Consider the following 23310-nt stretch of genomic DNA (forward strand, 5'->3'; position numbering starts at 1 on the left):
GACCTCCTGTCCTCCTATCTCCCATCCTCGGGGTCTATTACCCCAGAGGCAGCCACCTCGCCCTTCATTCTGGACATCTTTTTTATTTTTCTACATAAATGCTTGTTCTATTTTCTCTTGATTCAGTGATATTAGATATTATTAACTGACTTCCTGTGGGAGATGGGGATTCAGAGCTCTCCACTATACACAGACTCTTGCCTACCCCCAAAAGTGGTTTTTAAAAAATGTCCTTATGGCCGGGCATGGTGGCTCACACCTGTAATCCCAGCACTTTGGGAGGCAGAGGCAGGCGGCTCACAAGGTCAGGAATTTGAGACCAGCCTGTCCAACAGAGTGAAACCCTGTCTCTACTAAAAATACAAAAATTAGCCAAGCATGGTCGCACGTGCCTGTAGTCCCAGCTACTCAGGAGGCTGAGGTGGGAGAATCACTTGAACCTGGGAGGTGGAGGTTGCAGTGAGCCAAGATTGTGCCACTGCACTCCAGCCTGGGCGACAGAGCAAGACTGTCTCAAAAAGAAAAAGAAAGAAAGAAGGAAAGAAAAAGTGTTCTTACTTAACAAAATTTAAAAGTTAGCAACCCTATGTTGAAGCTCTGAAACATTTTGGGGGGAGATATTAGTGGCCTATGAAATTAAACAAATCTATAACCACTGGTAAAGTAGATGTTTGGGGATTTTTGGTATTAATTTGAACATTATTTAAGGTGAAAGTCTTTATAAATATTCCAAGTCTTTATAAATGTTACAATCCTCTAAAGTGATGCTTTTATCTGCTTAAATGATCTGCATAGAAAGAATGGCACCTGTATAATTGCCTTGCTCTCTCAATGCCAGAGGACAGTAGGTAACACATTTTAAGCATTACCGGGTGATTGGTAAGATTCTCCCAAAAGCTGTTCTTTCCAGGTGAAGTCCCTGACATAACTGTAGAGGAAACAAGCAAACCAAAGCCTATGGTTTGTTTTAACCAAATAGAACATTTAATCTTTGCACTATTGAAGGAAGCAATATTGTATAGAGAATGTGGTTGGAATGCCCTCATTTGATATGCAGAGGAGAGCAATGAAACTATCCAGCTGTTGATAAATAAACCCAACATGGAAATTCCAAAGGAATTGGGATTATCTAGGGCAGATGAGACAAAGCTGAAGAAGAGGCAAAGGACCCATTCTTGACAGAATTAGATATCATTTTCCATTTTCTCTCAGAACAGATCAATGAATTTACTTAAACTGAAATGGGAAGTGAGAACTATCTAGTGTGAAGATTTCAGATTTTTCTTTGTTGTTGTTTTTGTCGTTGTTTTTGAGATGGAGTCTCACTCTGTCACCCAGGCTGGAGTGCAGTGGTACTATCTTGGCTTACTGCAGCTTCCACCTCCCAGGTTCAATCGATTCTCCCACCTCAGCCTCCTGAGTAGCTGGAATTATAGGCACATTCCAACATGCCTGGCTAATTTTTGTAGTTTTTTAGTAGAGATGAGGTTTCACCATGTTGGCCAGGCTGGTCTTGAACTCCTGACATCAAGTGATGTGCCCACCTCAGCCTCCCAAAGTGCTGGGATTACAGGCATGAGCCACCATGCCCAGCCCAGATTTCAGATTCTAACATCTTGGGCATGTTGAGACCATGGAATTCACTCCCAAGGAACGTGGTAACCTTAAGGAATGAGTGAATGATTCCCCCCGGTCCCCCACTGTAGATATTTATCTGCAACAGTCTGAAGGTAGCCTGTCTATATTGCTTCTGGTTTTATGGTCACCCATCATGTTTTCTTATTCACTGTGGGTTGTTTTGTTGTCTAGTTGTGGAAGATATCAATAAGCGCAGAGAGCCGCTCCCCAGCCTGGAGGCTGTGTATCTCATCACTCCATCCGAGAAGGTAAACCTTCCACCAGAGGAGGACTCTGGCTAAGGTTAGATGGACTGGCTTGGGATTTATGTGGCACAGACTGTCTGACATTGCTAGGTTAAGCACGCATTTAACACACTGCTCTGTTTAAGCATGCAATCCACAATGGGGTGGGGTCGGGGGTGGTGTTTATGCAGTGAGAAGTGATGAATGTATTAAGCGTTCTTAAACACAGCAGCTGTGCAGAAAACCAGAGCCTGTGTTCCGTGGCCCTGGATCATTCTAGTTTTCCCCCTTGCACTCCCTCTTCAGGTAGGACCCACTCTGTCTAATTAGCAGTCCACCTCCAGACTTTGGTATTTTATGCTTTCATTTTATTTTATCAATATCCAGTTACTGTTCACATTTACCTGTCTTATAATTTTGGAGGTTACTTCAAATCACTATCCAAACAAGGTCCAACTCCTTGCTTCTGGGTAATAGTTGTCTTAGGCATGTTTTCTTTTGTTTTGTTTTGTTGGTTTTGTTTTGTTTTTTGAGACGAAGTCTAGCTCTGTTGCCCAGGCTGGAGTGCAGTGGCACGATCTCGGCTCAGTGCAACCTCTGCCTCCCAGGTTCAAGAGATTCTCCTGCCTCAGCCTCCCAAGTAGCTGGGATTACAGGCACCCCCCCGCCACACCCAGCTAATTTTTGTATTTTTGGTAGAGACAGGGTTTCACCATGTTGGCCAGGCTGGTCTCGAACTCCTGACCTCAAGTGATCTACCTGTCTTGGTCTCCCAAAGTGCTGGGATTACAAGCATGAGCCACCACTCTCAGCCTTTTTTGTTTTTTTGGGTTGTTGTTGTTGTTTTTTGTTTGTTTGTTTTTGTTTTTGTTTTTTTTTGTTTTTTTTTTGAGACAGGTCTCTCTCCATCACCCAGGCTGGAGTGCAGTGTTGTGATCACAGTTCACTACAGCCCCGACCTCCGGGGCTTAAGTGATCCTCCCACCTCAGCCTCCCAAACAGCTGGGACTACAGGCACATGCCACCATGCCCAGCTAATTTTTGGTAGAGATGGAGATCTTGCTATGTTGCCCAGGCTAGTGGCAAACTCCTGAGCTCAAGTGATCCACCTGCCTTGGCCTCCCAAAGTGTTGGGATTACAGTTGTGAGCCACCATGCCAGCCTTAGGTGTCTTAGTCTATATAAATTTCCTCCAATTTTCACACTTTTTTTTTTCACTTTGAAAACTGGCTTACATATGAATTTCTACAGATGCAATTAAATTGCCAAAAGGTCATCAATATGAATCTCCTGGAAGGTTTCTGCCGGGTTTCCTTTTTTGTGGGTGTCTTCCTAACAACTAATTACAGTGGCTCCAAAGAACTGATACTGTCATTCCAGAATGAGCTAAGAAGGCCTTTGTTCATCTAAACTCTGAAATAGTACTAATTTTAAGTCCTCAGGACTTGGTTATGGCCAAACATGAGTGTTAGAATTATGCATCAAAAATCCCCTGATTTTGTGCAAGTGGCTTGAAGCCATTGGATTTAACTCAGTTCAGATACAGGTCCCATTTGGCTCTAGAATTGGATTCAGGTCCCTCTTTTTCCCCCCCATCCACAGTCCGTCCACTCTCTCATCAGTGACTTTAAGGACCCGCCGACTGCTAAATACCGGGCTGCACACGTCTTCTTCACTGACTGTGAGTACAACCAAGAGCTGTCCCCAGTCCCATCAGGCAGGTTAGCATTTCTGTACAGCTGGGCTGAGCCAAAACTAAGGCAGGTCAAGAGGGAAGAAATGGGTTGTTACCATGCTTGTCCCGATCTGCTGGTTTCTCTTCAGAAGATAAATTGCATAAGAGACAAAAATAAGTGCACGCAAATACAAACCCACTAGATCATGCAGTCCTTCCTGCTGAAAAATAGCACACAAGCACCTCTTCTCAGGACTGACAGGCTTGGTGCTGAGAATGACCTTCCTGAGGCTTGGCATTTCATTATGTAGACTTCCAGTTAGCACTGTATGCTGTAGTATGTTTCCATCAATTTTTCAACTACAAAGATATTCCAATCCAGTAGTCTTTGTATTAGATAGAATCTGCATCATTACCCTAGAATTAGTTTTCTTATGTTTTGAGGATTTTATGCTCAGATCCTAGCGGAGAAGCAGAGGGAGATGAATTGACCTGGACAGCTACAGAGTATAAAACAGTAAGAATTCACCCAGAGATCTTCTCTCTAGGGATAAACTCCCACAGCACTCACCACTGAGAAAGTGGAAAGGATATAGCAGAAGAAGGATTTTGGCCGGGTGTGGTGGCTCACGCCTATAATCCCAGCACTTTGGGAGGCCTAGGCGGGTGGATCACCTGAGATCAGAAGTTCGAGACCAGCCTGGTCAACATGGTGAAACCCCATCTCTACAAAAATACAAAAATTAGCTGGATATGACAGCAGGTGCCTATAATCCCAGCTACTCGGGAGGCTGAGGTGGGAGAATTGCTTGAACCCAGGAGGCAGAGGTTGCAGTGAGCAAGATCACGCCATTGCACTCCAGTCTGGGTGACAGAATGAGACTCCATCCAAAAAAAAAAAAAAATCCTGATAAAATGAAGAGCCCACTGTACATGTGCAGCTGTTAAATGAACCAGCAAATGGACAGGAAAGCCAACTGTCTTTTGTCATACTTGCAGCTTGTCCAGATGCCCTGTTTAATGAACTGGTAAAATCCCGAGCAGCCAAAGTCATCAAAACTCTGACGGAAATCAATATTGCATTTCTCCCGTATGAATCCCAGGTGAGCCTGAGTAGGGGGTGCAAAGGAAATCTGCATCCTGTCTTATTCTGAGAGGGTGGGGTGGGACCTACTAAAGAGTTGAGGAGGGAAGGTACCATGCTCTGAATTGCCAAATGACAGGTTAGAAGTGGATGTTTACTGAATGGAAATAGTATTCCATAGGGCCTGCCCCCTGCCCTCATCTTACTCTCCAGTTGTTTCTGACTTTGCTTCAGCCTTGTGCCTTTCTTTGTGTGCATTTCATCCTTGCTCTCAGTGTTCACTCCTGTCGGCCGACTCCTTGAATAACCACTAAGTAGCCAATCAGAAACGAGCTTGGAAGGAGAGCGAGGGTGGGGAGCAGAAGCATCCCATCTGCTGCGAAGGAGACTGTTTTTTACGTGGAGATAACCTCAGCTTGTCATGTGCTGAGAGAGCAGATGGCAGCCTTCGTCATTAGCCGTTAACACTTCAGGTGCCAAATGCCAGGCCCATAAAGCACTCCCTTGGAAACAAACAAAATTATTAAACAAATAAAGGTGAAGCTGATTGTGAGAGAACAGACACAACTTGTCTCGGTATTTTGAGAGTTGTTAAAATGTCTTCTCTTACCAGACAAGGAAACAAAAACCACAGGACTTTGATGCATTTTACGGAGCTAAAAGATGATTGTGGCATATTGGATCTTTACAGATCAGCTTCGAGACACCAGAGAGTGACCTATTCTTAGAGAAGGAGAGATGCATAATATATAGTGTGAACATTTAAAAACAGGCTTCCTTCTCACTTGGCCTAAAGCCTGTCACCCGCTTGGGGGAAGGAATTTTTTTTTCTTCTGTGTGTTCCATCCCCACCTGGATAGAACAAAATCCAGCTTTAGCATATTGAACAATCTTATATTTCAGAAATTTTAAGAAAGTAAACTATTTTTCGAATACCATTTTTTAAGATTAAGGTAGTTTATATAAACGAGAATTTAAGAGAATACTGATAACTGGAAGACTCAGTCATTTAAGAGAGAATCTTCAACTTCTAGCATACTCCAAAAAAAAAAAAAGAAACAGAAAAAGAAGAGACAAATACGGCCAGGCATGATGGTTCACGCCTGTAATCCCAGCACTTTGGGAGGCCAAGACGGGCGGATCACGAGGTCAGGAGATCGAGACCATCCTGTTTAACACGGTGAAACTCCATCTCTACTAAAAATACAAAAAAATTAGCCAGGCGTGGTAGCGGGCACCTATAGTCCCAGCTACTTGGGAGGCTGAGGCAGGAGAATGGCGTGAACCCGGGAGGCGGACCCTGCAGTGAGCCGAGATCATGCCACTGCACCCCAGCCTGGGCAACAGAGCAAGATTCTATCTCAAAAAAAAAAAAAGAAAGAAAGAAAGAAAAGACAAATACTTAGAACATGCTACTGAAGATAAGGTATTATTAAATCCATAAATAGCTCCTTTATTTGCCCACAGTCACAGCACAGTATCTGGCTTGTCTCTTATTTATTGAAACTAAGCTTACAATTTCCAGTGTAGTCTCACACTAATCCCTTCTGCTCTCCTCCTGGCCTTGTCACTGTTCTCCAGGCACCCTAGGTACACACCCGCCCAAGGTCCTTGGCACTGCCTGTTCCCTCCATGTGGAAGTCCCCTGTAAACATCCCACCTTCAAGCCCTTGCTCAGATGTTACCTTCTCAGCAAGTCCTGGTGTCCTCCCTGTCCAGCCCTCCTGGACATCCTCCCCTGCTCTGATATTTTCTCATATACTTGCCAGTTTCTCAGGACCACACAATTCACTTTTCATTATGTTTATTGTCTGCTTTCTCCTACTAGATTGCAAACTCCTTGAGGACATGGATGTTTTGGTCACTAATAGTTCCCAAGTGTTTAGCACATGGGCACATGGTAGGCACCCAGTACATATTTGTGGAAGAAACGGGAACATATTCTGTAGACTCACTGCCAGGGTCAGAGAATACTCTGATAGTTCACAATATGTATTAATACTTTTTCTCCTCCCCAGGTCTATTCCTTGGACTCTGCTGACTCTTTCCAAAGCTTCTACAGTCCCCACAAGGCTCAGATGAAGAATCCTATACTGGAGCGCCTGGCAGAGCAGATCGCGACCCTTTGTGCCACCCTGAAGGAGTACCCGGCTGTGCGGTATCGGGGGTAAGGCAGTGCACCAGTCTGCTGGAGTGGCCTCCCGTGTGTCCCCCAAGTGAGGAGCTGGCCTGGACTCCTCCTCCGGCCTTAAGGTTCCTCTGACAGTTGTCTCAAGAAGATCAGGATTTGAGCATCTCTTACTTCAAATTACTCTTCCAGTGGTTTTGTTATCTTCTCAATGTTATAGTGAAATATAATAATACATGCAGAAAAAAGCATAAATCAACTATTGAATAACGAAAATGTGAACCTCTATGTAACTGCAACTCAGGCTGCCTACCGTTTTTAATTTCTTTCTAATCTTTAAAAACAAATACTATCTTTACTAAAGATGTTTCAGAGTAAGATAAAATACAAAGAGAGTAATTCTCCAAAGGACATGTTCCTCAGATTTTATCAAGCCACGCATTTCTCACTTGCTTGCTGAGTGCTGGGGGCACCTGAAGCTGAAGACCCAGCCCATGATCAGGGAGGATGGGTGGGATGTGCCTTCCAGCGTGTATGTGCATGAGAGATGCACCCCTGCAGGCTCGACCCTGCGAGATAGGACAGGCCAAGTGCTGGGGACAGCCACAGTAGGGAGAGGGCCCTTTGAGCCAAGGGTGAAGCCCGTCTGCAGACCACAGGTGACGATAGGCTCATGAGGAGAGAGAGGCCAGCATTTTGTGTGCACAGTTGGCTCTTGCATTTGGTATAAACAAAAACTTGGGAGTTGGGAAAATGTGGGGCACATTTGGGGAAGATGGGTAGTCCAGCACAGTGTATGTGTACGGCAGTGGCGTGGGATGAAGCCAATTCTGGAGGTCTTGGATGACAGGTTTGGGATTATGTCCTTCGGTGGTTATCACTGGAAACCTATGGGGGATTTGGACGGGGATGACCACAGTTCTCTGGGAGAGTGAAGGCTGGAGTATAAGCAGGAGTCAGGGCAAGGAAAAACCAGAAGGGGTGGCTAACCAGGAGGCCACTGCAGGAGGAACAAAGGGCCTGGTCTTGGAGTGATGGGAACGGGGTGGACAGGTAAGGACAGAATCTGAGAGCGTGCAGAGGTGGATTCGGAACTGCCAGCAGGTTAGTAGTAGGGCAGGAAGGGCTTAGGCTGCCAAGGCATTGTGCCGTGGTAACCAAGAGCTTGGTGGTGCCACGGATCATGGGTTCACCCATCCTGTGACCTCATTGTCTCCTGGAAGTTGTGGCCATAGAAAAACACCTTCCGGTTGCTGTCCCAGTGCCTGGCTTCCCTCCACTGTTGGTAATCATGGACAAAGCCAGCCGGCAGTTAAGAAATGGGACCTAGGTGGCATCTCCTGACTGACCTGTGGGAGCTCAGGCTGGTAGCAGGGCTGCTGCAGTGCTGAGACTGGCCAGGAAGCAGGCAGCCGCCGCCCCAGCATCAGGTCAGGTGGGGCCCAGGGAGTGCTGTCAGACCCAGCCATGGGGAAGGGTTCAAAGGTTCTCACATTGTTCTGGCCATGCCAGCTGAAATGTCACTCTCCAACAAACACAACAAAACAAGACCCAAGAGAATGTGAACTGAGGGAAGTGAGAATCATGGGAGTCAGGCTGGGAGCCTGATCGTGGCAAAAGGTTCACTGACTGGTCAGGGCCCCCAGTGGAAGTGCGGCAGTTTATCTGAAGCTGCTTGGAAAGACATCTGTTTCCACTTAGATCATTCTGGATAAAAGCAATAAGAAAATCACTTACTTATGGTCCAGGCACTGAGCTAAGTGTTTTATTTTGCTTTTCCTTTCTAATTATACTCTCATTGTAAAAACACGAATACAGACAATGCTCACATCTCCCCTAACCCCGCTGCACTGCTTGGCTTCCTTTCCCGGGGGCAGCCAGCACCATCATGGGTGCTGGGTGGTTCATGCTCTGTCACCCCTCCTTTGTCAGGGAATACAAGGACAATGCCCTGCTGGCTCAGCTAATCCAGGACAAGCTCGATGCCTATAAAGCTGATGATCCAACAATGGGGGAGGTAAGTCTGGCTTGGACCACGTGGTTCTCTTTACCAAGGACCGCAGTGTTTGTGTGACAGTCCCAGAGACAGCTTGGTTCTGTTGCCACAGAGCATGTGTCAGTGCTGCTTTTCCTGGGGACTGGCTTCCAGTGAAATGCCTGAAGCCCCTGGGGCAGGGCCATCTACATGTGTTCATCGTGGCCAGGGTGACCAACTTGTTCTGTTTGCCAGGGCTTTCCTGGTTGCAGCTCTGAATGGCCCAAGTCCCGGGAAACCCCCAGAAGCATAATAGCAAACCAGAAAATCGACAGACACACGCTTCAGAGCTCATTCAGCATTCACTGGTTTTTACACATGCTCTGTGTACAGCCCTGTGCGTTTTACACATGGATAGATATTCACTGGTTTTTACACATGCTCTGTGTACAGCCCTGTGCGTTTTACACATGGATAGAGTCATGTAACCATCTTACAATCAAGATACAGGGCTGTTTCCTCACCACCTTGATTTTAAAACTGAAAGGCCCAGGTCCTGGGAACCCGCTTAGTCCCAGGCACACTGGAGGGTGGTTGCCCCATTTGTAGTTGAACTTGGGCAGTTTCCTACAGAAACTCACTTCGGCTCCTAGCGTTTCATATCTGCCCCTAAGTGCGCTTGCTATGAAATAGAAACACTGGAGTCTTTTAGGGTATTTTTGGTGATCTTGTCTAGCAGTAGACTTCTGTGCTGCGTTAGTAACTTTGCACCTCAGAGTTTGCTTCCTGCTGCCCTCCTTTACAAGAGGGGTTCGCTAGGTGGAGAAGCCGGAGTTGGCTGGGTGGCTTGTGAAGCATCTCCCTGTTTTCCCCCAGGGCCCAGACAAGGCACGCTCCCAGCTCCTGATCCTGGATCGAGGCTTTGACCCCAGCTCCCCTGTGCTCCATGAATTGACTTTTCAGGCTATGAGTTATGATCTGCTGCCTATCGAAAATGATGTATACAAGTAAGTATAGTGTTACAGACCCCAGAGTGTATACGGCTCTGCACATGAGCCAAAAATATGTCTAGAAAAAGAACGGGTTTTTTTGTTTGTTTGTTTTGAGATGGAGTCTCGCTCTGTCACCCAAGCGGGAGTGCAGTGGCACAATCTCAGCTCACTGCAACCTCTGCCTCCCAGGTTCAAGCAATTCTCCTGCCTCAGCCTCCCAAGTAGCTGGGGTTACAGGCATGTGCCACCATGCCCAGCTAACTTTTTGTATTTTTTTAGTAGAGATGGGATTTCACTGTGCTGGCCAGGCTGGTCTCAAACTCCTGACCTCGTGATCCGCCCGCCTCAGCCTCCCAAAGTGCTGAGATTACAGGCATGAGCTACCACACCTGGCAGAAAAAGAGAGTTTTTTTTGTTTGTTGTTTTCTTAAGACGAAGTCTCGCCCTGTCACCCAGGCTGGAGTGCATTGGCGCAATCTCAGCTCACTGCAACCTCCGCCTCCTGGGTTCAAGCAATTCTCCTGCCTCAGCCTCCCGAGTAGCTGGGATTACAGGTGCCCACCACCACATCTGGCTAATTTTTTGTATCTTTAGTAGAGACGGGGTTTCACCATGTTGGCCAGCCTGGTCTCGAACTCCTGACCTCATGATCCGCCCGCCTCAGCCTCCCAAAGTGCTGGGATTATAGGTGTGAGCCACAGCGCCCAGCAAAAGAGCATTTTTAACCCTAGGAAAAACGGTTCATTGATACAGCCTTGCAAATTAGCCTGTAAGTTCTTCTGCGAGTTCCCCAAATCCATGTGGCATTTCTAGGCAGGAACTCATGACTTGTCCTCTTTTTGGGGAGGACAAGCACTTTAGGTCTTTGGTTCCCAGCTCACAGCACCTCAGGTCATAGCCTACTTGGATATGTTAATATTGATTTTTGTGTTTATGTGTGTATCTCATTCAGAGTTGAAATTTTTTCTTTCTGTTTTATTGGTTCTGCCTCTCTGGAGGCAGAGTTGAAACTTCTTGTTTATAGATCCTGAAATATGATGATGATGAAATATATCAACAGAAGTTTCATACTGAACTTTCCTCACAGAGGAGCTGTTTTCTTCATTTGTAAAAAACATTTTTCTTGGTAGCAATCATCAGAAATTTAGTTTCTAAAAACCAGTTTTTCCTTTTGTGGAACCAGACTGTATAAGAAACAGACTGTATGAGAACAGACATTGTTCTCATGGCATTTAATAGCATCCATCATAAAGATAGTGGTTTCAAAATGAAGATTCTAAAAATATGAGTGAATCTCGGTTCTCCCTGTTGGTAGCTATAATTTGTGCCTCCTCCAGCTGTTCACGATTTCCCATGTGATTGGTGCTGAGGGCCTATTGCAGGCAGCTGCTGGAAGCTATTTAGGCGCCACACATTGAGGATGACATCCCAGTGCCTTTCCAGAGGGACAGATGTGATCTTTGCCTTTCCCCTATAAATAACTAAACTCATGTATGACCTGACTTCATGCCCTGGACCAGACAGCTCAGGTGGAGCTTGTATCAGCTGACCCAAAAGATTTTAAGACAGAATTTCAAATTGGTTGACTTTGAAGAGAGCTTTGAATCTCTCCTACCCGAGGAATTGCAGCCCGGGTCAGTGCTGCCACAGCAAGCCTGGCTGACAGGTCCAATGTTGTGACGGCACTTGTGAACATCTGGCAGCTGAGGGTGGTGAGCTGCTGCTGCTGTAAGCTGAAGAGGGTTCGATGAATGTTGTGGAGACAGTGCACTCCACCTGAGTCCCGTCTCCATTCTAGGTATGAGACCAGCGGCATCGGGGAGGCACGGGTGAAGGAGGTGCTCCTGGACGAGGACGACGACCTGTGGATAGCACTGCGCCACAAGCACATCGCAGAGGTGTCCCAGTAAGAGCCCCCTGCCCCCTTCTCCAGCGAGGCGCCTCTACCCAGCTGCTATTGATGATGCGTTCACTCTGGGCACCTCGCGGGGGCTCATCACTGTGTGAATTCGTTTTCTTGGCAGAGTCACCAACATGCTAACCCGTAATGATAAATCCCTTCTGTTCTCTGAGCTTGAGCTACTCCGACTTCATGAAGTTAGAAAATCAATTCTGTATTAGGGCTGCTTTTAGGATTCTTGGAAAACATATGTAGCTCTCTCAGAAAAATGCATTACAAACATTAAAAATTTAAAGCTAGTTCATTCTATTGAAAGACCCAAACACCACAGTATACAATTGGACTTTCTTTTTTATAGCTGGTATACAGCCTTCCCTGTTTTACCTACAGTTCCTGAGCAATAGCTGATGTCTCCCTACTAAACTGTATCCAGCTCTGAAAATGTTTCAGAATGTTTCTAATATTTAAACATTGTTGTAAGACCTTTAAGCTGTAGATAATGATTCTGCTTTTTCAGAAAGACATATTCTGCTACAGTGAGTTGGTGATATATTCAGGAAATGCCCAAGGAAGAGTGAGAAAATAATACAGCCTTGGATAGTTCTGTTGTTTAGAGAAGAGGTCTCTAAACTTTTTTGATCACTCAACTTAAAAAGATACTAACCTGTGGCCAGGCGTGGTGGCTCACACCTGTAATCCCAGCACTTTGGGAGGCCGAGGCAGGTGGATCACCTGAGGTCAGGAATTCGAGACCAGCCTGGCCAACATGGTAAAACCCAGTCTCTACTAAAAATACAAAAATTAGCTGAGTGTGGTGGCGTGCGCCTATAGTCCCAGCTACTCGGGTGGCTGAGGCAGGACAATCACTTGAACCCGGGAGTTGGAGGTTGCAGTGAGCCAAGATTTTGCCATTGCACTCCAGCCTGGATGACAGAGTAAAACTCCATCTCAAAAAATAAAAAAGATATTAACCCATATTTCAGTAAATTAAATGTATTTATGAATTTAAAATATGCTTTATTGTACTAATGTGTGTATTTACAGCATAAATATATATGTTTGTATATTTTTCAAACATGAATTATGTTTCACTATTTATATTCCAATATAAATTTGAAAAGAATGAGGTAAAATAAACATAAGTAGATATTCTAATATTTTCTTCTCTTTTCTCCTTGAATAATCTGGTACACCCCACTCTGGAGACCACTGGTTTCAAATATTAATTAGAAAAGCTATGTGTCTCTCTTCTCTCTTAGAAAATAACTTCTTTTTCTTTTTCTTTTTCTTTTTGAGACTGAGCCTTGCTCTGTCACCCAGGCTGGAGTGCAGTGGCCTGATCTTGGCTCACTGCCACCTCTGCCTCCCAGGTTCAAGCAATTCTCATGCCTCAGCCTCCCAAGTAGCTGGGATTACAGAAGTGTGCCACCATGCCCAGCTAATTTTTGTATTTTTAGTAGAGATGGGGTTTCACCATATAGACCAGGCTGGTCTCGAACTCCCAACCTCAGGTGATCTGCCCACCTTGGCCTCCCAAAGTGCTGGGATTACAGGCGTGAGCCACCACACCCGGCCAAAAATAACTTTAAATGCATACCTTACTGGCAGGAAAACTCACCACATACTCCTAAAGGAAAAATTGCATGACTCCTATAGCATCCATAGCAAGGTCCATGGTGTTGCTGTGAAACTTAGCTGCCTCCTTTTATCTTCCAGGGAAGTCACCCGGTCTCTGAAAGATTTTTCTTCTAGCAAGAGAATGAATACTGGAGAGAAGGTAAACCCATGCCAGTGCTCAAATGCCCAGTAAATTAGTCCCTGCTTTCTCTCTAAGAGCAGGGAAGCTGCCTCCTCCAAACAGGACTAGTGGGTTAGCAAGGCCATATCCCTCTCTTAGTTTATATCATTTTGCCTTATTTTTATTTTGCTTTTATTATTATTATTATTATTTTGACAGAGTCTCGCTCTTTTTCCCAGGCTGAGGTGCAGTGACAGGATCTTGGCTTACTGCAACCTCCGCATTTTGGGTTCAAGCGATTCTCCTGCCTCAGCCTCCTGAGTAGCTGGGATTAGAGGCACGCGCCACCACCCCTGGCTAATTTTTTTGTATTTTTAGTAGAGACGGGGTTTCACCATCTTGGCCAGGCTGGTTTTGTACTCCTGACCTCCAGCTATCCACCCACCTTGGCCTCCCAAAGTGCTAGGATTACAGGCATGAGCCACCGTGCCCGGCCATTTTTACATTTAAGATACAGATCCAGGCCGGGCATGGTGGCTCACACCTGTAATCCCAGCACTTTGGGAGGCCGAGGCAAGTGGATCACAAGGTCAGGAGTTCGAGACCACCCTTGTCAACATGGTGAAACCCTGTCTCTACTAAAAATACAAAAAATTATCTTGGTGTGGTAGTGGGCACCTGTAATCCCAGCTACTTGGGAGGCTGAGGCAGGAGAATTGCTTGAACCCGGGAGGTGGAGATTGCAGTGAGGCAAGACCATGCCATTGCACTCCAGCCTGGGTGACAGAGTCAGACTCTGTCTAAAACAAACAAACAAAAAAAAGATACAGATCCAGAGCCCCTACATTTTGATATTTACAGAGAACTGCTTTTTGTTACTCTGATGGTTAATATTTACTCTTTTGGATCATGATTCATTTTAAGCCAGAAGAATGAACTGTGAGACCTTTTTTTAACTTGTGGTAAAATTATAATCTACCTTATTTATATATATAAAATTATATATATATAATTATAACCTACCTTATAGAATTTATAACCTACCTTACCTGGGCCTCTCCCTATCCTGCCTGTTTATCAGAGGTGGCACACCTGTCTTCGTCAAGGGAAGTGGAATTACCAAAATACAACTCTGGTTGTGTTACTCACTTGCTTAAAACCATTTAGGGACTTCTTGTTCCCCTTAGAATAACTCCCATCTGCAACACACACACACACACACACACACCCCCCTTCCAAAGCCCAGATCATCAGCCCCACAGGCCTCTCTCTGGTCTCATCTCTGCCCCTATCCTTGTTGCCCTGCCTCCTTGCTCCAGCCACACCAGTGTCCTCTTGCCTCAGACCTGGCCAGGTTCTTTGGCTCAGGCATCATTTCCTCAGGGAAACCCTCCCCGGGTCCCTACCCAGACTAGGCAGATGCCTGTGCCACGTGCACCCACACTACCTGGTGAGTCCCCTCGAAGGGCCCTGATCTCTGCAGTGCTTTGGCTCCTCTCCTGGATGCTCTGATTCTCCGTGAATTAGAGATTCTTTTTTTTTTTTCTTTTGTCCTTGTATCTCCAGCACCTAATAGTTCCTGGTATATAGTAGTAATTCAGTAAATTTTTGTTGGGTAAATGGATGGGATTAGATGGCCCACACAGAAAGCACACAGACCTGTCTTGCCCATTGGGTGCAGATTCCCACCCTCTGTGACCTCCCTGTGCTCCTCCCGTCCACGTAGCCACAGTCTTTCTGCCAGGAGGAAGTGCAAACTTGATGCTAAGGCTGCTTGAGCTGAGGATGAAGAAAAGCAGTGAATAGAAGGATTTTTTTTCCTCAGCAAGAATTAGCTCTCAACAGCTTTCTAGTCCAATAAGCATAGAATAAAATATAACTGCTAGACTTCAGAGTTCAGTTCCCAACCTATAAGACAATCATATTTGGATCAAAAAAAATTTTGAGCCAGAGGCCTGGAAATCTAAACACACATGATTTTGTGTTTCACAGATTCATTTTGAGTGTTACAGAGTGTGCGCTTGGGAACCCTAGTGTGGGCAGCTGTCCTGTCCTGTGCCCACTAGCCTTGCAAAGCCTCCTAACATCAGGGCCATTAGAGTGACACCATGTGCTTTCCTTTCCCTTACAGACCACCATGCGGGACCTGTCCCAGATGCTGAAGAAGATGCCTCAGTACCAGAAAGAGCTCAGCAAGGTATGGCAGCCCCAAATCATCTGTTTGAATAATTGAGTAGAAACAGCTGCAAAAAGACTTCTCAAAGCCCTACTACTCTAATTGATTCATGGAAATTCACAGATTTAGTTATCTTCAATTTTTATTAGAAAAGAAATGAAAGGCTGGGATAGGCACCTTATTTCCTGTCACTTTCTTTTCTCCTCTTTATCTTTTCCTTCCTATTCCCTTGCTGTTGGCAGGAGGCCTCAGTTCCTCACCACATGGGCCTCTCCACAGGGCTCCTTGAGCATCCTCCCAACAGGGCCATTGGCTTTCCCCAGAGTGAGCCATCTGAGAGAGAGAGTGCTAGGAGGAAGTCACAATACCTTTTATGTCCCGATCCTGGATGCCATGCATTATCAGTTCCTCCACATTGTTTGTTAGAAGCAAGCTACTAATTCCAGCCTACAGTTAAGGAGGGAATGAAGCTCTGCCTCCTAAAAGGAGGAGTATCAAAGAATCTGTGGACACATTGTAGTAATAAAACCATCATTGGCTGGGTGTGGTGGCTCATGCCTGTAATCCCAGCACTTTGGGAGACCGAGGTGGGCAGATCACCTGAGATCAGGAGTTCGAGACCAACCTGGCCAACATGGTGAAACCCTGTCTCTACTATAAGTACAAAAATTAGCCGGGCGTGGTGGCACGTGCCTGTAATCCTAGCTACTCAGGAGGCTGAGGCAGGAGAATCACTTGAACCCAGGAGGCAAACGTTGCAGTGAACCGAGGTTGCACCACTGCACTCCAGCCTGCGCAACAGAGCAAGACTCTGTCTCAAATAAAAACCATGGTGCCACCTACCCTCATAAAGGATTTCTCCTTTGTCTTAACTCTTTTAGAATGTGGTTTGTCCCTCTCTTTTGACATGTAACACTTTCTACTTTGTGATGTTTGTGTACCCGCTTGTACACACTTTTTACCTCCTTTCTGAGGCTAGCGACTCCTTGGTGCCCAGTGGTGTTTTATACGTAGTAGGTGCTCAGTAGATGTTGCATGCATCCATGATTAGTCCCTTGGTCACAAACTGTTGTGCTTTTTCCTAGTACTCCACCCACCTGCACCTTGCTGAGGACTGTATGAAGCATTACCAAGGCACCGTAGACAAACTCTGCCGAGTGGAGCAGGTAGGACTCTCCTTCTGCCACGGCAAGTTTTTGCCAGGCCTATTTACCCAGCAGAATTTTAACATCTGCCCTTGAACATCCTGCAGAATCATAGGAAATAGAGACGGGAAGGCCTGCTAGATCATGCTGTCTCAACTCTGGAGCCAGTGCGGTTCCACTGTCCATGGTAGGGACTAGATTGGTCTGGAATGCTGTGCCGTTTGGATTTTGCATGCCTATTTTGAAAGGCTCTGTTTTCCCTGGAATGAGTGAAGAAAGATGTGTGGGGTTCTGAGCCCTACATTGACAGGACTGGCAGAATTTTATATTCTGAATGTGTTCTACTCTTGCCATGGCCAGACCAGCTTTGGAGACCTCGAGGCTGACAGAGGGTAGAGCAGTAGCAATCAGAAATTTGCCCAAAGCATCCCTGATCACAATTGGGATTGTAAATTGAGAATTTGGGGTTTGAGTTCTGTCTCTGTCACTGATTATTTGATGTGCCTGTTTCTTTGTGTTTCATTTTTTTCATCTGCAAAAGGGAAATCATTGCTGACATTTTTCAAGGTTGTCTTGTGGAGTCACTAATCCTGGCTTAGATTCATCCTAATTCTTCAAGTGTTTCAACATTATAAAACCATGGTTCAAATTCTAAGCGAAGAGAAGATGTTAAAAGATTCTGAAGCCGGCTGGGCGTGGTGGCTCACGCCTGTAATTCCAGCACTTTGGGAGGCCGAGACGGGCGGATCATGAAGTCAGGAGTTCAAGACCAGCTTGGGCAACACAGTGAAACCCCATCTCTACTAAAAATACAAAAATTAATTGGGCGTGGTAGCTGGCGCCTGTAATCCCAGCTACTTGGGGGGCTGAGGCAGGAGAATCGCTCGAACTCGGGAGGCGGAGGTTGCAGTGAACAGAGATTGCTCCACTGCACTCCAGCCTGGGCAACAGAACGAGACTCTGTCTCAAAAATAATAATAATAAGATTCCGAAGCCTCAGCTTGGCCTCTTTTCATAGAAAAAAACAATTCAGGATCTCAGTGTGAAGCTAAGATTTCAATCCTCTGGTTTGGTGTGACAGGCTCAGTTTAGGATTGTAAGCCCTGTCCTGTATCTTTGGATATTTTATAAGGGGAAGCAGCCCTGCTAAAATCCATCAATTTTATAGGGGATTATAGCAAACACAAGGTGTCCTCTTGAAAAGAACCTGACCATCTAGAAAATAGGTCATACCTAAATCAGTAAAAATGTAGTTTGGGATTAATTTTGGAAGTTTACAAATTTTCAGAAGTGATCAAAAGTATTGTTGAACTAGTTGCATTATTAAAATCATGTCCTGCTAGTCAAATGTCTGTTGAGGCTGGTGGTAGGACTGAAAGGTGAACGGCCTGTGAGAGGTGTCCTGCCTTCCTGGGACACAGACTGGAGAGAGACTATGAACTCGAGATCAGAATTTGTATGGACTCTTGGGATCTTGAGAGAAAAAAAGAGAGCCTTCAGGCAACCTCCTAAGAGCCACAAAGGAAGCTGCAGCTGTGAGTCCTGGTTGGCTGAGACCAGCGTGCTGCCTTCTCTGGATCTGAGTCTTGCCTGCATCATGAAGCGGGGCCAGGAACTTGTGTTCACTTCACTCTTTTTCATGTCTAGTTCTTTTTCAGCCCATATCTTCCCCTTCATCTCCTGGGGTTTGGATTTGCTGGTTTGGGGGCTCTTTTTTTCCCTTCCTCACTCATGAAACATGGTAGAAAGATTAAAAACACGTTAAAAGCCTGGAGCAGTTCAAACTCAAAAAGCATGTGCTTCAATGTGAGGGGAAGCAGAATGGAAAGAATCTACCCACGCGGAGGCATCCTAAAATCCCAGCACTTTTCATGGGAGGGAAGCACATCCCTTTAAGTCCCGCTCCCTCACAGGGCCTTGTACCTCTAGAGGGCCTACCAAGATTTAGTCTTTTTTTTTTGTTATGAGCCAGGGTCTTGCTCTGTCACCCAGGCTAGAGTGCAGTGGCGCAATCATAGCTCACTGCAGCCTTGAACTCCTGGGCTCAAGCAATCCTCCTGCCTCAGCCTCCTGAGTAGCTGGGACTACAGGCATGTGCCACCATGCCTTGGTAAAGATGAGGTCTCTGCTGTGTTGCCCAGGCTGGTCTCAAAACTCCTGGGCTCAAAAGATCCTCCCACCTCAGCCTTCCAAAGTGCGGAGATTACAGGCATGAGCCACCGCCCCCAGCCAGGATTGAGTCTTTATCTGAGAAGCTGGCACAAGTACACTGGCACTCACCTACAGTGAACAGCCTACTTTAAAACAAGATGGTAAATCATTGTGGTTTCTGTTGGGCAAGTGGCACTCAGGGCTTTTATCCACCCTCACTGATGCTGTGGGAGACAATGCTGATCACACTCCTGCTAACTACAGTGCATTATAAGAACAGAAGCACCTGTTTAAGACCTTCCCCAACCAAGGTGGCAGTTCTAGACATTTGTGGATCCTGAATTTCCTAAGAACTACTGTTCCTCCACACTGTCACCAGAGAGATGGAGCCAATGAGGTGTGTTTTCCTTAGGACCTGGCCATGGGCACAGATGCTGAGGGAGAGAAGATCAAGGACCCTATGCGAGCCATCGTCCCCATTCTGCTGGATGCCAATGTCAGCACTTATGACAAAATCCGCATCATCCTTCTCTACATCTTTTTGAAGAATGGTAGGGCTGTGGGACCTAGAGGAAGGCACAGACCCTGTCTTGGGGAAACTGAGACAACTGAGAAAGAGGAAACAAAGCAGAGAAGTCATTTAAAAGACATGGACTGGGGAAGGAAAAGAAGATCCTAGGGGCCCTTTTTGTTTGGGGAAATGCAGTGTAGTCAGATCGTTGCAGCTAGAGGCTGAATGTCCCCCAGTCATTGTAGAGTTAATAAATGGTATGGAGTAGATGGAAGAGGACAGGGCTGGGGAGAGAGGGAAAGCTGCTTGGCCTTGTGGCCAGTTTACCAGAGCTATGCCCATCACGTATTTTTAACTTGCATCACATTGGTAATCTCTGCCTTTAAAGAACTGACTTTTACCCAGTTCAATCACAGTTTCCCAGGAATGTCCATTGTACAAAAGATAGATAATAAGACTCTTGTCCAATTTGACCTTGATTCAGGGTGGGGGTGGGCAGGGGTTGCTGAGAAGCCGGGGGGCAGATGGAAACACAGACTATAGGGGCAGCTGCTGATGGTCCTCACTCAGGCAGAGTGGCTGGAGGGGAATCGGGATCCTCGTGTTGTCCTCACCTATAGTGAATCTGATGAGGTGGGGGAGCAATGTCCACTAACCCTGAGGGGAGAAGGGCCACCATCCGGCCTGTCCCATTGGGTGCATGGGGGCTGTGTGTGGTGATCGGGTGTCTTGTGCCCTCAGGCATCACGGAGGAAAACCTGAACAAACTGATCCAGCACGCCCAGATACCCCCGGAGGATAGTGAGATCATCACCAACATGGCTCACCTCGGCGTGCCCATCGTCACCGATGTAAGAGGCCAGCTCAGCTTCCGGGGGAGGTGGGAAGGGAGCTGGCAGATCTGTCTGCTTCTGCTCTGACTGACATACAGCATCTCTGATACACACTCGTACGTCAAGAGAGAGAGACACAGAATCAGAGGGATAAAGGTGTAAAGCTATATATAAATCAGAGACACAAAGCCAAGAACCTAGACGTCAACAGCAGTGAGTCATTCACAGTTGTGAAAGCTGAGATGTCTTGGAACCAAACCATAACAGGGGTCCCCGCCATTTTATCTGTCTTGTCTCAGGGTCTGTCTGGCCTCACCTTTGGACAGCTTAGCCTCAGTGTCCCCTGTGAAGATGAGAATATGACACTTAGAGCTAGCAGTTTGGCCACCTTTGAGTCTTCTGCACTGGGTTGGTTCAGAGCCAAGTCAGGGCAGGTTGTCTGGGAGGCCTGGACCACGTGATGTGCTCTAGAAGAGGTGGGGTGAAGCCTCCAGGACCCTTGCAGAGGACTCTGCCATGAACCTTGCCTGTCACAGCCCCACTGTGTGCTTGTCTTCTATAGGCACAGCACTAACAAAGCTAGGGTTGCAAATATTCTCCCTCTGGAATCTTATAGACAAAACTGTTCTAGTGCCACCAGACCATAGCCCTGTAACTAGCAGGAGTTTGGCATTTTTAAACCCTTGTTCACAAGAGGGATCAAAATGAGAATGGAGATGTGCATTCATTCAGTGCAACTGTGCTGCTGAAATCCAATACGGCATGCTCCAAGCAGTATGCCCTCCTCTAATAGGCAGCAAACTACTGTTTCAACTGCCTGGAGTTTTTTCTTTTTTCTTTTTTTTTTTTTGAGACGGAGTCTCGCTCTGTCGCCCAGGCTGGAGTGCAGTGGCGCGATCTCGGCTCACTGCAAGCTCCGCCTCCCGGGTTCACGCCATTCTCCTGCCTCAGCCTTCCGAGTAGCTGGGACTACAGGCACCCGCTACCACGCCCGGCTAATTTTTTGTATTTTTAGTAGAGACAGGGTTTCACCGTGTTAGCCAGGATGGTCTCGATCTCCTGACCTCGTGATCCGCCCGCCTCGGCCTCCCAAAGTGCTGGGATTACAGGCGTGAGCCACCGCGCCCGGCTGAGTTTTTTCTTTTTAATGGCACTTACATACTTGACCTATGTTTGCCCTTTTTTATAACTTTTTTTTTTTTTTTTTTTTGAGATAGAGTCTCACTCTGTAGCCCAGGATGGAGTGCAGTGGTGAGATTTTGGCTCGCTGCAACCTCCACCTCCCACATTCAAGCAATTCTCCTGCCTCAGCCTCCTGAGTAGCTGGGATTACAGGTGCACACCACCACGCCCGGCTAATTTTTGTATTTTTAGTAGAGACGGGGTTTCGCCATGTTGGCCAGACTGGTCGTGAACTCCTGACCTCAGGTGATCTGCTCACCTCAGCCTCCCAAAGTGCTGGGATTACAGGTGTGAGCCACCAAGCCCGGCCTTTTTATGACTAAAGAACAAGTTTGCTCCAGGTTCCCAAAAGGGCACATTTAGGGCTATTCCATGGAAAACCATCCCCCCACCATTACTCTTTGCCAGTGCTGCCTCTGGGTTCCTTCAGGGAATTTCCAGAGAGTAGCAGAGGTCACCTAGGGCCCAAGTGGCCCTGACTCAGGTTCTAACCTGGTGTGTGTGTGCATGCAGTCCACGCTGCGTCGCCGGAGCAAGCCGGAGCGGAAGGAACGCATCAGCGAGCAGACCTACCAGCTCTCACGGTGGACTCCGATTATCAAGGACATCATGGAGGTTAGTGCTGGGGCACAGGGAGGAAAAACCAGGCCCAGGGCCCTTGGCTTGTCAGCCTGGATGCTTCCAGCTTCACCTGCGGCGAGGTGCTGCTGACTTCACAGGTACTGCCTCCACTTGAGGATTTGCATCCAGGCCTCCTTCGGCCCTCATGGTGCCCCTTGCCTGGGGGTTTCTGAAGAGCTGAGAGACTGTGAAGCACAGCCCCAGATCTATTTGTTGTTATGTCTTGGAGGACTCAGCTCCTATAATAGAGACTCCTCTAGGGTGCCGCATCCAGAGGGGTCCAAGTGTATCTCAAAGGTCAGATGAGTGACATCACATCTCCACACAGGTGCAGTGGCTCAGCACACTTCCCCAGCACGGCCCTGCCTGCCCCGCCCTGCCCTCCTCCTGCTGTTCCCTACCTGAGCCTCCACACACCAGCAAATCGGATTCTGCTCCTCTGGCCAAAGCAGCCCCTTGCCTGGCATATTCTCACCCCTCCACTCCCCTTCCCAGATCCTGCTTTCCATCCAAGCCCCTCTTGAATCTTACCATTTCCATCTGCCGCCCCACCTGTCTGACCACTCAGCACACAGGGGCCTCCCCTGGACTCCTTAGTGCACATGTGCCTCTTGGTGCCTCGGGTCGCCTTTTTGTTTGTTGGTCCTGTCCCCTCAGCTGCTGTGTCATCTGCACAGAGCCTCTAGTGCAGCAGGTGTTTTTGCAGTTGTTGGCTGGAAGGTGTATAAGGTGGTGGCCACCGCAGTAGCCCTGTGGGGTCACTCCCTTCTCTCCTTGTAGCGGGAAGAGACCCTGCATAGAATCCTGCACCACTAGATCTTTCCAACTTGATTAGTGAACAAAACTGGGGTCTAGAGAATGAAGGGGTTTTTCTCGGGATCCCTTAGTTAATTCCTGGCAGCCCAGGTGTTCCTATTGAATTGTACATTAATATAAATGTATTTTAAATATATAGAGTGAGTCAGCTCCCATTTTTAAAATCCACAAACTAAAAGGATGGGTGAACATGAAACATCTAGAAACCAATTATATCTCTTTGCTTGTTGGGATAGCCAACCCCTCTGTCTCATTCCTTCCTTTGTTCTCTGCTCCCTTTTGCTCCCCCTCCTCTCCGATCCCCTAAAGAGACATGTGTAGGCTTCATGTGGGAGCTGTAAAGAAGAGTGTGGATTTCTAGGCAGCAGGAGGTAGATGGTGAGAGTCCACCCACCAGATAATTAGACACTTGAAAAACGGAGGGGGTAAGGCTTCTTCATGCAGGAGAGACACTGCTTGTGCCTGGTTTCTACAAGGCTGATGGCAAGTATCAGGAATTTATTGGACAGAATGCATCATTT

General features: G+C 46.8%; 1 protein-coding gene across 12 annotated transcripts in view, besides 1 other annotated feature; it reads left to right on the top strand.

Annotated features, from left to right (window-relative positions):
- Positions 1–23310, top strand: part of STXBP1 (syntaxin binding protein 1) — an 84118-nt gene that overhangs the window by 44654 nt on the left and 16154 nt on the right. For 10 of the 12 annotated variants that reach the window (NM_001374309.2, NM_001374314.1, NM_001374308.2 and 7 more), the window contains 13 exons: positions 1810–1886; positions 3465–3543; positions 4537–4640; positions 6640–6788; positions 8682–8766; positions 9601–9731; positions 11515–11622; positions 13333–13393; positions 15486–15551; positions 16616–16696; positions 19239–19377; positions 20079–20188; positions 21866–21967. In NM_001374309.2, coding sequence (NP_001361238.1) covers positions 1810–1886; positions 3465–3543; positions 4537–4640; positions 6640–6788; positions 8682–8766; positions 9601–9731; positions 11515–11622; positions 13333–13393; positions 15486–15551; positions 16616–16696; positions 19239–19377; positions 20079–20188; positions 21866–21967 — 1292 coding nt within the window. The remainder of the gene's footprint in view (positions 1–1809; positions 1887–3464; positions 3544–4536; positions 4641–6639; positions 6789–8681; positions 8767–9600; positions 9732–11514; positions 11623–13332; positions 13394–15485; positions 15552–16615; positions 16697–19238; positions 19378–20078; positions 20189–21865; positions 21968–23310) is intronic. The other 2 variants (NM_001374306.2, NM_001374315.2) reach the window with 2 other exon arrangements.
- Positions 4657–5475: an enhancer, noted in NCBI's record as "VISTA enhancer hs2342". NCBI's record gives its function as "enhancer in: neural tube[4/5] | forebrain[4/5]" and the evidence as "EXISTENCE:transgenic organism evidence [ECO:0001131][PMID:17130149]".

This window comes from Homo sapiens, chromosome 9 (genome assembly GCF_000001405.40).
Source record: "Homo sapiens chromosome 9, GRCh38.p14 Primary Assembly".
Classification (NCBI taxonomy): domain Eukaryota; kingdom Metazoa; phylum Chordata; class Mammalia; order Primates; family Hominidae; genus Homo; species Homo sapiens.